Genomic DNA, 13,645 nt, shown 5'->3' with positions numbered 1-13,645 from the left:
TCCATATACTAAATATAAATTAATAAAAGCTGTTATTGGTTACTTTCAGATGATGGGATTATGTGTATTTTTCTTTTAAGGTTTAAAGGTTTTCCATATTCTGTAAAGTACAAAAAGCCCTTCAAAGAAAAGTGAATCACACATGGTTGTACAAGAATGTGAATATACTTAATAATCAAAAATGGTTAAGGCTAGACATGGTGGCTTACACTTGTAATGCCAGCCCTTTGGGAGGCTAAGGAGGGAGGACTGCTTGAAGCCAGGAGTTCAAGACCAGCCTGGGCAGCAAAGCAGGACTCCATCTCTACAAAAAAAAAAAAAAAAAATTAGCTGGGCATGGTGCACATCTGTAGTCCAGCTACTCAAGTGGCTGAGGTGGGAGGATCGCTCAAGTCCAGGAATTTGAGCCCACAGTAAGCTACGATTGCACCACTGCACTCCAGCCTGGGCAACAGAATGAGACCTCATCTTTAAAAAAAAATGGTTAAGATAGTAAATTTTATGTTATGTGATTTTACCAGAATTTAAAATAAAATAAAAGTCATAACAGATCATCAAAAAAATAAATCATCCAGGTGAAGAGAGGAAAATAAGTTTGATTGTGGAACTGGCCAATTTAAAGAACTCAATAGTTTTACCAAATCGTTTGTTACAGTACATCAATACTGCATTCATGGTTTGATAAATCTACATTCGTATTTTAGATATTTGGTACTGATAAAATTTGCCCTTTTCAAATTCTTTATTAGAAAAAACTTGTAGAAAAATTCTAAAATGATTTCTTCAATAGGCTTTGAATATTTTGCTTCAGACCACTCTTCTGACTACATGAAGTATGTGTCTTTATTCACAAGCTTGCACAATCCCTGCTGGACAATTCTGAGTGATGGCAGCTCCCACCTTTCCTTCTTCCTTCACTTAGACTACATTTATTCAGCATCTGTATTGTTGGAGTAAGTTCCATGTTAATACTCACCACTGAGGATATGTTAATACCACTTAACTTATGCTCCAACTGATGTAAAACACTGCCTAAATGGCCTTTTATCCTTTCACTTAACTTAGTAAGAACACACATCATAAAAAATCTCCAAAACCCATCATAAATGCCAACGTTATATGTTTTATTTTTAATCAAGTAATTTTTTTAAACCTCAACATATCCATAATTGACAGAATAAGACATTAGGCATGAAATGAGAATATAAAACCCAGAGTGTACAGAAAGGCAAACAGTGCTTCAGTCCCTCCAGATGACTGCATGCGAGTGAAACGCATTCCAAACATCTACCCCTTTTTTGTCTTTTAAAAACATACAGTTCAAGTGTTTTTATTTTCACTTGTAAACAACATGAGTCAAAATGGACAATGAGGTAATCTAAATACTACACAGGATAATTTAAAAACACTAGATAAAACACCATTATTAAAGACATATAAAAATCAGGGTTCACTTTGGTCTCTAGTACGGTTAGTTGTTAATACCAAAAAGCAACACATACTAATTGAAGCCAGCTTGGTGGTAGGTGCCAGTGGTTGATAGATGTGATTCAAGAGGTAGTCAACACCATCATTTTCAAGCTGGTAACTCTCACAAGTGTTAAGCCACAGATGCATTAAATATCATAATACTTCTCACAGTACAGTACTTTACCATAACTTGCAGCTTTGTTCCAAATATAAAATTTAAAAATGAATCATAGGTCAACTTCTCACTCTAACTGAACAATTAAGACACAGATCATACAACCACCACATCTTAAAGAGGCTGTTGACAGCTATGTAAGACAGAGTTTGATGCTTTTAACAAGATGTTCTTCTCTAAAACAAATAAATCTCATTAAGACATCTAGAAAATTAAAGTCAGTGCAGCTGCACTTGTACATACTTTCCCAAATTTTATAACCAAAGGGGAAATACACATATATATTTTATGATAAACATTTCTTAGAGAAAACAGATAAATTAATTTAAATTAACTTTAAGACTTAATGAGATTTCCCATGTCCTGTATAATTCATCTTATAGTGAATGTTACAAAGTCTATTAACACTTATGGGCTCCTATTCACAAACTAAATACAACCAGCAGTAACTTGGGGCCGCACTGGTGCAAAATAAAACTGAGCCAGAATAAAAAAAGTATCGGCAATATTGGAGGTGGACTGATGCTAATAACATGACATTTCTTGATCTTTTTTCTTACATTGCACTCTAAACTTCCAAGTTATAAGCAGGTAAAAATCTTTCTAAATCTTTCAACTGCAAAAATACATCCAAGGCCTTCTAGTGAAGACTAGAAACCCAAGTATAAAAATGTTTTCATTATAGTCTGCCATGTAGCAAAAGATCAGCTTACAGGGCTAAGAGACTGGCAATGCATCTTGTTTAGGAATTACATTTGTGTTGACATGAGGGTGAGGTCAAGAGATAACTTAATTCACAGACCTGCTGCCCCACCATTAGTAATCCCTGCAAAGTGATGCTTCACACAGACCCTTTTCCCTCAATAGCTAGTAATGGCATTGCATGTTCATTCCTTGGCAAGCCAGTGCTAGTTAGTTATGTGCCTGGGGCTATAATGCTGCAATACGCTTGGCTTCAGGGCAGCACAGACAGTAAATGAAGGACATTGGCGTCTTTTAAACTCTTTGCCTAGCATGAATACCTGCATACACCAACCCCTCTCCCTGCTACCCCTTCCAACCTCCACCTCTGGGCAAAGTGGTGCTTCTAAGACTGCTTCCGTGTTCTGTTTTGCTTAAGTTGAACAGTGCCCATAATTCTTTAAACTAAATACATGATTATTTTAAGGAAATGTTTGGAGACTTTGCTAACTAAAACGAGATGCTTCATTATTCACAAGTGTTTGTCAGAAACATGCAGTTGTGAATTGCTATTTATAATACAGATAAAAAGGTTCTGTACCAGAGAATTATCAGCCACCTGTAAGGCTGGAACAGCATACATACAGGTGTGCTATGTATCAACTATGAGGTAGCCTTTTGCTGTAAACAGAGTAATATTTTACCTATGTAAATGAACAATGTGTTCACATCAGTGATATTCACATATGCACAGAGTTGAGGGAATCTGCTTTAGAGGAGTTTTCACATGAAATAAAAATAGGATAACTGATATCTGATATTCAAAAATTTTGATCTGTGTCAAACTCAGAGGTAGTTACTATCATCAGTACATAATACTTATATAAAGGTATAAGTTATTTGGTTTGTTTTGAGTAAGCAGGACTGTAGACTAGTCTGTAAAGAAACAACAAAAATATTACATGGTATGTTCCCTGAGCAAAGTTCTTTGTCCTGAGTATGTTATGTAATAGTGATAATATTCTCATATAAAAAATAAACCCCAACTTTCAACCATAAGATAGGTTTGGTATGTGCTCTTAGTTTAGTCTGGTAAGATGATGAAAAGGATTTCAAATTGCACCCATAAAGACCATAGTTCTCAAGTGTTTCTATTTTTTTTTACCATGATTTTAGCTCTGAATTTCTTTTTGTAAACAGGAAGTGTCCAATTTTGAAGTCCATAATTTCCTATTTCCATAAGGTGAAGGAACTTTGGTTTGAATTTTCAAAGTGACTTATCTATCATGTTTTGCATTTTTACTGTTAACCTGCTTATTATACCTGCTAAAAATTGAGCAACGCTTATCATGTTTTGCATTTTACTGTTAACTTGCTTATTATGCCTGCTAAAAATTAAGCAATGCCACTTTGATTTGTCTACATAATTTAAATAAGTTTGAAATCCTCACATAAGGCAAGGAAGTACTTCTCTACAGCTATATCACATTCAATATCGTCAAAGGTAAGCTTTGCATCACAGCACACCGATATTTCAGTGTATACCACGCAGATTCTCACAATCACTGTTGTGAAATTCAAGCTGAGTTGTAAAGGACTGGCAACCCAACCTGAGGCATTTTCGTCTTATGGTGGTTTGCTGAAACAGCAGCAACTATACACGTCTCCCATGACAGGACAGGCGGGAGAGGAAGTAGAAACTGTTCAGCAGAATATGTCTCATTTGAGTCATGCTATTTTTATTTAATTATCTGAGCTTACACCAACAGGCCCATACATTATAATTATAATGCTTAATCTTATTCCCAATATTAAGCACTATAATTAACTGGTACCTTCTTGCAGATGTTTCAGAAATTTGCCCATAACATCTAGAGCCAGGATGACCCCAAAATAATTTTTTTTTCCATGACCGAAACCTAACAGGACCAATACTATGGCCCCTAGCCAGTTTATCACTCTAACGAGAACCAACCTGAGAAGATTCTCCCTGGCACTGAATGTTCATCCTGTATCCACCATATAGGTTACTTCAGAATAAGCATTGAAGGTCACTTCCATAAGATCAAAGTTACTGTATAAAATACTTCTAGCTCTCTGGTGGGAGAGGTTTGGTACCTCTGCCCCAGGCTTGTCACTCTTGTTAACTGCCACTAAATGCTGCACTTTTTCGTATCATTTGCAGGTCATATATATTGGGCAACTGTGAACATCCACTTAATTTTAATTCTCAACCCCAGTATTTAATTCATTTCTTTGCTGCTTGTTTGTTTTAGAAACAAATTAGATAACTCTCCAGGAGGAATAAAAACCACCACCAAAAATATATGCCAAACAATTGGAGTTCTCTAAGGTCTTCAGTAGTAAATAAGGAGGGCTCCCTGCTCTAAGCAATGGGTAGAAGATTGAGTTAGCCAAGGGAAGCTGCTGTTGCCACACAATCCCTTACAACCCTCACAACATGGAAAAGGTTACAAGAAGCTGATATTAAAATACTACTGAAAACAAGCCACTAAGATGATCCTCCCCTTCATTTCTCTTAATAGGCATCTAATTTTACAATTAAACACAGAATTTAAAACAGTGAAATATCGGCCCAAATTACACATTCATTGTCTTTTCTGGAGTTATGTTATCCCAGAATCAAAAAAGCTTATGGCAGTCAGAGGCATATGAAGTTAAGGTACTGCCTTCAAAAAAGGGGGAAAAAAATTACTACTCCAGAGATTTCAAGAAAAAGAGGCAATCCCAAATTCGGGAGAACTGGATGTCTTAAAAACCTTTAGTACCCCATAATTGGCAGCTCTGAGATCTGAAGTATCCTTTGGTTCACACAAAAGGTAACAGTCGTGTTTTTAGTTTTATATAATATAAAAGAAGTGGTATTTCAAGAAAACTCCAGTGGGTTAAATTTAAAACTATCTATAATGCTTCACATGGGTTTTCAATTCTTGGAAATATCCAATTATATGAGAGAGGGTGTGTGCTTTGATCTATACACAAATATATAAAGACAAAGCCTCTTTATATATGTGTCTACATTCCTATATAAAAATCCTCATGTACACACACAGACTCAGGCTCTCTCCCTCTCACACATGCACATATTGACAGACATAGTATCTTATTCTCTGAATTAACATAAAACATGACACCCTGCTCAAATGTAATTTGCTTAGAGTGATTTGTCTGTTTAAAAAATTCACAGTTCCCCAATAGTAGTTAAAATCCCAGGTCAGCTACTGCTTGTGAAATACTGTTCCCCTATACTTGCATGAGGTAGACTTTGCAACCGGGTAAAGGAAAGAACATATGAAGAAGACCTGTTATGTCTTTTTCCTTTTTTGAACTGAAGGCCCCTTTTTGCTTTGCTCTTCTGGTGCTATAGATGACTTCGTGGAGGAAGCTTCTTGAGGTGACCTGCCTGACCGTTCTGAGATCTCTGCCCTAGCCTCCTGAGGAAACGGTGGTGATGTACAGCCATGCCCGCCTCCCACTTCTCGAGGGAGAGTTGAAGTGCATGGCTGGGATTCTGCTTCCTGTCTTCCCTGAGAACTCGCGGGTGGCTGTGCAACATTTTTATGTGGGCAGTTTGCCACCATGTGCATGATGCTCTGACAGTAATGGCACTTCTTTGGCTGAGGAGGTAGACTACATTCCTTAGCATGATGATCAAGGCCACCACAGTTGTAGCATCTACAAGGAAAAAAGATGAAAACATCTTAGAAGTAGGCAGCATGTATCCAAAAACACATTTTAAAATGTGAAAACACACAAACTACCAATGAGATAAGCTTATTTTAATGTGCCTTCTTAAAAGCATTTATCATTGTTTATACTGGTTACACTGTTGGTTCAAAGACTATCATCACCAAAATGTTCTGGTGAGGTTAAAAACTTAGTTGTGTGAGACACAACTAAACACAGTGAAAAACAAGAGTATTAAAACATGTAAGAATATTTAATCACTTCCATATAGAAAGGATTCCTTTAAATTTGACACTATCTGGTCATTTTAAAAGAACCATTAAGCCCACTAGAGGGCAGCGAATATTCAACAAAAAACAACAAGCCAGTTTTAAAAACAAGAGTGTAGAAATACAGCTGTTGGCATGATACAAAGTGGCAATTCACTCAGAAACTGGCAAAATTTTAGACCAAATTTAAAAGTTTAACACTTCTTTGAATGTTAATTATTTTGACTGTAGAAACCAGCTAAACTGGAAAAATTTTTTTCCTTTGTATAAAATTAAGTAATGCAGTGAAATTTGATATATAAGAAAGTCAGAGTCTAGTCAGAAAGTCAGGATGATATCTGGCAAATTACCAAGTAATTTTAGAGCAATAGAGTAAATGTCTGAATCAGAACAGTGCTAAAAAAAGAAAGCTTCTAAATACTTAGATTGAATTAATAAAGGTTCATGCTAGTTCAATGATGAGAAAAGTTAACTTTCTTTTCTTTTTTGTAAGAAATTAGCTTTCTTTTAGGGTGATCTCTTTTAAGTTAAAATAAATGGAAATCCGTCCATAATATGTGAATGCACACTGGGGACATGGCTTTGTATTAGATGTTTGAAAGTTCAGCTTTTAGCTTGGCAAGGAAAGCTAAGCAAGAAAATTTTTTCAGAGGTATATTTGTTCAATCAGATTTTCTTCTAAAATTTTATATTAAAAGTAACAAAAAAACCATTAGTGGAAGAAACTAAGAAAAATTTATATTTACCAAAGGTGTTAAATCTGATTTTAAATACAGAATTTGTTTAATGACTTGTCTCCAAATGAAATATTTTAAGAGCTTTCTATTTTATTTTCCAAATACATTTATGACTCCATAAATCTCATTTATGAAGCACAAAGAACAACAGGTTATATATATATATTTTTTGAGATGGAATCTCTCTCTGTTGCCCAGGCCAGAGTGCAGTGATCTCGGTTCACTGCAACCTCTGCCTCCCGGATTTGGGCGATTCTCCTGCCTCAGCCTCGGGAGTAGCTAGGATTACAGGCATGTGCCACCATGCCCGGCTAATTTTTGTATTTTTGGTAGAGACAGGGTTTCACCATGTTGGCCAGGCTGGTCTTGAACTCCTGACCTCAAGTGATCCGCCTGCCCCTTCCTCCCAAAGTGCTGGGATTACAGACGTGAGCCACTGCACCCAGCCAGGTTATAATGTTTTTAAAAAATAATAACAAAATGTTTTAACTAGCTGGGTGGCGGTGGCTCACGCTTGTAATCCCAGCACTTTGGGAGACCGAGACAGGCGGATTATGAGGTCAGGAGATCCAGACCATTCTGGCCAACATGGTGAAACTCTGCCTCTACTAAAAATACAAAAATTAGCTGGGCATGATGGCGCGCGCTTGTAGTCCCAAGCTACTCGGGAGGCTGAGGCAGAACTGCTTGAACCTGGGAGGCGGAGGTTGCAGTAAGCCGAGATTGCGCCACTGCACTCCAGCCTGGCGACAGAGTGAGACTCCATCTCCAACAACAACAACAAAAAAAGTGTTAACTGAGAAAATTGGCTTAAGTCCAGACTCACAACAAGAAGTGAATTATGATGACATATTTGTATGTGTGTGAGAACATCAAACTTAATAATTTATTCTACCTTATATTTCATAGACAAACTACTAAGGTACTAACAACCTACTAAGCAGTGTATATAGGATATTTAGTATTTTATCTCCTGGCATAAATTGAACAGTGAATTTTTTAATTGGCAAAAATTAGGGTAACTATTGCCTGCTTCTCCAGTTAGCAATATTACCTTATATACTTTAGAATAATGAATTTATAAGATGGGCTTTTATTCTTTGCAATGATTAACAAGTATTTATCTTAGGACAGACTGAATCATATTTTCAAAAAGAGAAAAAAAAACAAGAAATCACATGTTGTAGTTAAATTATTCATTGTATAATTACATATCTTAATAAAGTATTACAGTGCAGATTCAATATTGTTTCAGCCATATGTTCTAAGAGAGTGTAAGATTAAATAATAAAGTTTACTTGCTAATGCTTAAAATTCAGGTTCTCAAAATAACACTAAAAAATGACATATTTGAAAAATATAACCACATTACTTATAATAATATATTTTCCCACACAGTTCTCCTCTACAATAGATAAGTGAATTCTTAAATTAAAGTTGCCCATCTATAAAATATCTTCTTTTGAATTAAATTCACTTCCTTGAGGATAACTTCCACTCAGGAGCTCATTTTCAAAGAGACAGAAAATAGGTTAAAGGCTTCAGTAATAGGGCTGGCTCTCCTGCAGACACATCAATTTTATCAGTCACCGTGGTATGCACTGTGTTATCCAATTCAGGGAACCATTTTGCCCACTCATTGACCAGGAGCCTGATGTCAGTATTCTACTTTCACAAATGGGATCTTCAATTACCCTCTATCTGTGCATTTACCATTAGATTTGGGCTATAAAAGTTATTTTTAAGGATGCTATATAATTTTGGTTTCCTTACATTTTGATCTGCATAGTTAATTCACCCCCTTGGCTTTCCTGATATGTGCTATCATTAGGCCAGACTTTCTTCCACATTGAAAAGATTTGCATTTAGTGTCTATGTGCTTAGCCTTAAAAGGGGGAGGAGTGGTATTTATATTCTCTTCTATTTAATCATTCAGTGTCAATCACTCTTACTAAGAGTACAGATCACTCTCCATTATGAAACCCCTTCCTTCCCAAGGGACTGACACCAAAATAGAAATGTTCAGCTACCTTGCAGCTCACAAATTATACCACAACTATATACTCCATACAAGCTATACATGATTTTAGTCCCCTTTGTTCACCCTCCACACTGTTCCACATCAGTTTGCCTTTGTAGTTGGAATGAATTTTACATTGTGATGTGAGCATAAAAATATCATGTGTGTCCATTTTTAGCTATATGCTTAAGAAATATAAGGACATAGTCTCACACAAAAGACCATACAAAGAAAACTATACTCATACTTTATTATATATTCCCATAGTCCAACATAAAAAATAAAATTATTCATGCTAAGTACTTTATTAAATGCTGAACCAATGGCACAAAGGATATTTTCTCATGCATTACAAATAAGATAAAATAGGCCAAGTGCAGTGGCTCATGCCTGTAATCCCAGCACTTCTGGGAGGCTGAGGCGGACAGATCACTTGAGGTCAGGAGTTTGAGACCAGCCTGGCCAACATGGCAAAACCCTGTCTCTACTAAAAATACAAAAAATTAGCCAGGTGTGGCGGGGCACACCTGTAGTTCCAGCTACTCAGGAGGCTGGGGCAGGAGAATTGCTTGATCCAGGGAGGCAGAGGCTGCAGTGAGCCAAGATTGATTCACTGCATTCCAGCCTGGGCAACAGGGCTAGACTCTGTTTTAACAAACAAAGATAAAATAAACAAAAATGTTCAGTTTAATCTTAGACGGTTATCAAGTTCTTCATAAAATCATTTTATAAATACTGTAATTCTAATGAGCTAGCATATTCTACAAGTATTATTTCTTATTTAAGGAGCGTTTAAAGATAGAAGATAATTAACAATCAAATCAAAGTCAACATTTTTGAGACACTATCAAAATAAGATTTATAATTTCAGATTTTAAGGCCTGACGCGGTGGCTCACGCCTGTAATCCCAGCACTTTGGGAGGCCGAGGTGGGCAGATCACGAGGTCAGGAGATCGAGACCATCTTGGCTAACATGGTGAAACCCTGTCTCTGCTAAAAATAACAAAAAATTAGCCGGGCATGGTGGCGGGGGCCTGTAGTCCCAGCTACTTGGGAGGCTGAGGCAGGAGAATGGCGTGAACCCAGGAGGCGGAGTTTGCAGTGAGCTGAGATTGCACCACTGCACTCCAGCCTGGGCGACAGAGCGAGACTCTGTCTCAAAAAAAAGAAAAGATTTTAAATGAAAGAATGGCAACAATGGATAGAATAGAGGCACTTATGATGGTTAAATAAATAAAAACAAATTGTTTAGACCTTTAGAACTATTTAATTATATTCTGAAGTAATTACATGAGTTTTTAAAAATCAAGTCCAAACACCTACACTAGTTAATAAGTTAATCAAAACATACCCAAATTTCTGAGGATTTCATCAAAAAATGAAAACTAATTCAGAAATCAGAATTTAGATCTGCTATGACCATTAAAAATGTTTGCATTTTTTGATCCAAACAACTGAATAAGCAGATTATATTTTCAAATGATATCAGCAATAATGGAGCTGAGCACAGCGGACAACCACTAGGTTAAAATATAGACATTAATTTTTAAATAATATTCCAATGGTGTAAATGAAAATATTCATCAGTTATATATTCCCTCTCGATCCTGAGAGTGATGAAAAAAATTGGGAAGAGGGGCGATACCACAGAGGAAGATCCAGATTTGCTTGTCTAAAAGTATAATGGAAAAAAATGTATCTTAGGATTCTTCACAGTACTTGAACATTTTAAGTTAATAAGAATTTATATGTAAACTCAAATCCACATTCTGAGGGTCTGATGGGGGCATTAAGGATAATTTTGACAGTGATCTGTAAGCTTCTGAAGGGGAAGGAATTGTTGAAAGATAGTACGTAAAGCAGTATCAGGGACAGAGAAAAGAGTAGAGAAAGAAGTGCAAGCTTTGGGCAGGAAGAAGGTACGAATACAGAAAAGGAATTTCATAAAAATTCCTGGGAAAAACGGACTAAAAAAAGGATTAATAAAGTTTCCAAATGGGAGGCAGAGGGGCTAAAGAAAAGTCACAGATTGAAAAAAATTACAGGAACTAAACTGAAGGAAAAATAACTGATTCTTTGAAGAGATCATTTTAAACCTTGGTACAGTCCAACTAAAATCCAGAAATGATACTAATAACATTCCTCAGCTCTATTATTTTTTATTCTAGTATGTTTTAATACTTGTTATTTAATTAAAATTGTGTGCCAATCAACTGAACACATGGAAGTGCTGGATCACAGCCAGCTGGTGGTGGGGAGGTGGGTGGGCAGAAAGGTTATTAGAGAACCACAGAGAGCTGACAAGCAAAGGATCCAGAGCATATTGATGGAAGCAATCTGCCTACCCTGTACACCTCCTGAAGGTAAGAGGGGCAGATCCTGGAACCAACCTTCCTAAAGAAGGCCCCATTTTGTTCTGACTGATTCTACACAATCTAAATAAACATTTGGGTATTGTTTACTCACTCCACAGGACTAGCCCCAAAATACCAAGAGAGGAGTTAGGAAACTTTGATGAGTCACAGAACTAGTAAGTCTCTTTAATAGTGTACATGTCTTCTGACCTCTATCAACCTATACTTTAATGAATTAGTTTCTTTTATTTCATTCTTCTCATAACCAAATTCATAAGATTGTAAGCCAGTTAAACAATAACAATTTTAGTAAAGTTAATTTTTATTTAAGTATGTTTTCCATACTTAAATTTTTATATATTCTAAGTACAGTGGTAAAAACACTGAGTTTTCAAAAATAGTTAGTTGGTGATACTGATGATTTATGTTCTTTTAAAAAGTTTCCTAGATAATAAATACACATTTAACACCAGAAAAGTTTTCATTTGGATCTTCTGGAATATAGAAGCCAGCATCATGCCCCTCTGTTACCTTAATCATGCTAAAAACAAAATATTCTATATACAGAAGGACTAAACATACTTTTACTTTTAAGAGAATTAAAATGGTAATAACAGAAATAATAAACAGGTTCAATTCACTGAGAGCTTACTAAATTCTAGACACTGTGCTAAAGGTTTTTAATGTGTTATATAATTTAATCCACCCCCAAAGCCTATGAATTGGGAACTACAATATCTAAATTGTATTGATGAAGAAATTTAGAGATTATCTAGAAAGGAATTTTAATTGAAAGCAATTAAATTTCACTTCCATTTTGATTACATAAAAATGTTATACCCAACAATATTGATGTAATTTTATTATATGTAAGTCTAAAATATCTAGGATCTTGAATTTAAAACACTAATACACACACACACACACACACAGACACAAAAGAATTGAAGTAGACTTTTCCTGAGACTTTGTTACTGGGGAGGTCAGCGTGTTTCTTTGAGCATCCCATCTATAAAACAAAAGACTGGGAGTAGTCCAATCCAGATTCTTTACACTGCCAAGGCTGAATTTTCTTTTCATCTCTCCTATACTTTACATGTTGAAAAACTTGGTCTAAAAATTTGTGAATACTTTTTCTATTCTCTTTAATCATATGTTTAAGATTATAAATTGGAATTTTAAGCTGATATGCTATATAATCAGTGCTATCAAACTCACTCAATAAAATTCCAGTCAAAAGAGAGAAGATGGAAATTTTAGTTAGCCCATTAAATCACACTGCAGTATGAATGATTTATTTAGGCTCTGAAATATTGCAATCAGATTATATTGGTTGGAGTGAATGTAAATTGAGACTGCCTCTCTTGGAGGACAATTTGACAGCATATTGGAAAATATTAATACACATACTCTCTGACCTAGTAACTCTCACTCTAGGAATTTGCTCTACAGGAATATTCACTGATAAACACAATGATTCAGGTACTAAGATATTAACAACAGCATTGTCCATACTGGTAAAAAGTTAGAAAAATTAAATTATAATAATAATGCTAACAATAACTAATTGTTATTGTTAAGCTATAAACTTGTTAAAATGAAAAATAAATTAAAGCCACATATACCAAAAAACATTTTGCAGATAGTAGAATAATGAAATAATTTTTTAAAAATTGAGGTAAATTTATATGTATTGACATGCAAAGATCTCCAAGACAAATTGTTAAGTAAAAAAAGCAAACCACGGCATAATACATAAATACGGTATGATCGAATTTATGTTTCAAAGACATTAGACATGATTATAAGTAATTGTGTGCATTTTCAAATGCATGTAAAAACCGGCCGGGTGCAGTGGCTCATGCCTGTAATCTCAGCACTTTGGAAGGTCTAGGTGGCCGGATCACAAGGTCAGGAGGAGTTTGAGACCAGCCAGGCCAACACAGTGAAACTCCGTCTCTACTAAAAACACAAAACTTAGCCAGGCATGGTAGTGCGTGCCTATAATTTTAGCTACTCAGGAGGCTGAGGCAGGAGAATTGCTTGAACCCAGGAGGCAGAGGTTGCAGTGAGCTGAGATTGCACCACTGCATTCCAGCCTGGGTGACAGAGCAAGACTCCGTCAAATGAATGAATGAATGAATGAATGTAAAAACCACTGGGAGGGAAGACAGTGAATTGACAAATAAAGAGTGGTTACATCCAGGGAAAATAGTACGGTGAAAGGGCA

General features: G+C 35.8%; 1 protein-coding gene across 3 annotated transcripts in view; it reads right to left on the bottom strand.

Moving 5' to 3' along the window:
* Positions 1,104-13,645, bottom strand: part of LIN28B (lin-28 RNA binding posttranscriptional regulator B) — a 146,307-nt gene continuing 133,765 nt past the window's right edge. For all 3 annotated transcript variants that reach the window (XM_006715477.3, NM_001410939.1, NM_001004317.4), the window contains one exon: positions 1,104-6,022. In XM_006715477.3, the coding sequence (XP_006715540.2) occupies positions 5,653-6,022 (370 nt within the window). In that variant the 3' untranslated portion in view covers positions 1,104-5,652. The remainder of the gene's footprint in view (positions 6,023-13,645) is intronic.

This window comes from Homo sapiens, chromosome 6, assembly GCF_000001405.40.
Source record: "Homo sapiens chromosome 6, GRCh38.p14 Primary Assembly".
NCBI lineage: Eukaryota > Metazoa > Chordata > Mammalia > Primates > Hominidae > Homo > Homo sapiens.
This window is presented reverse-complemented; position numbering and strand designations above follow the sequence as displayed.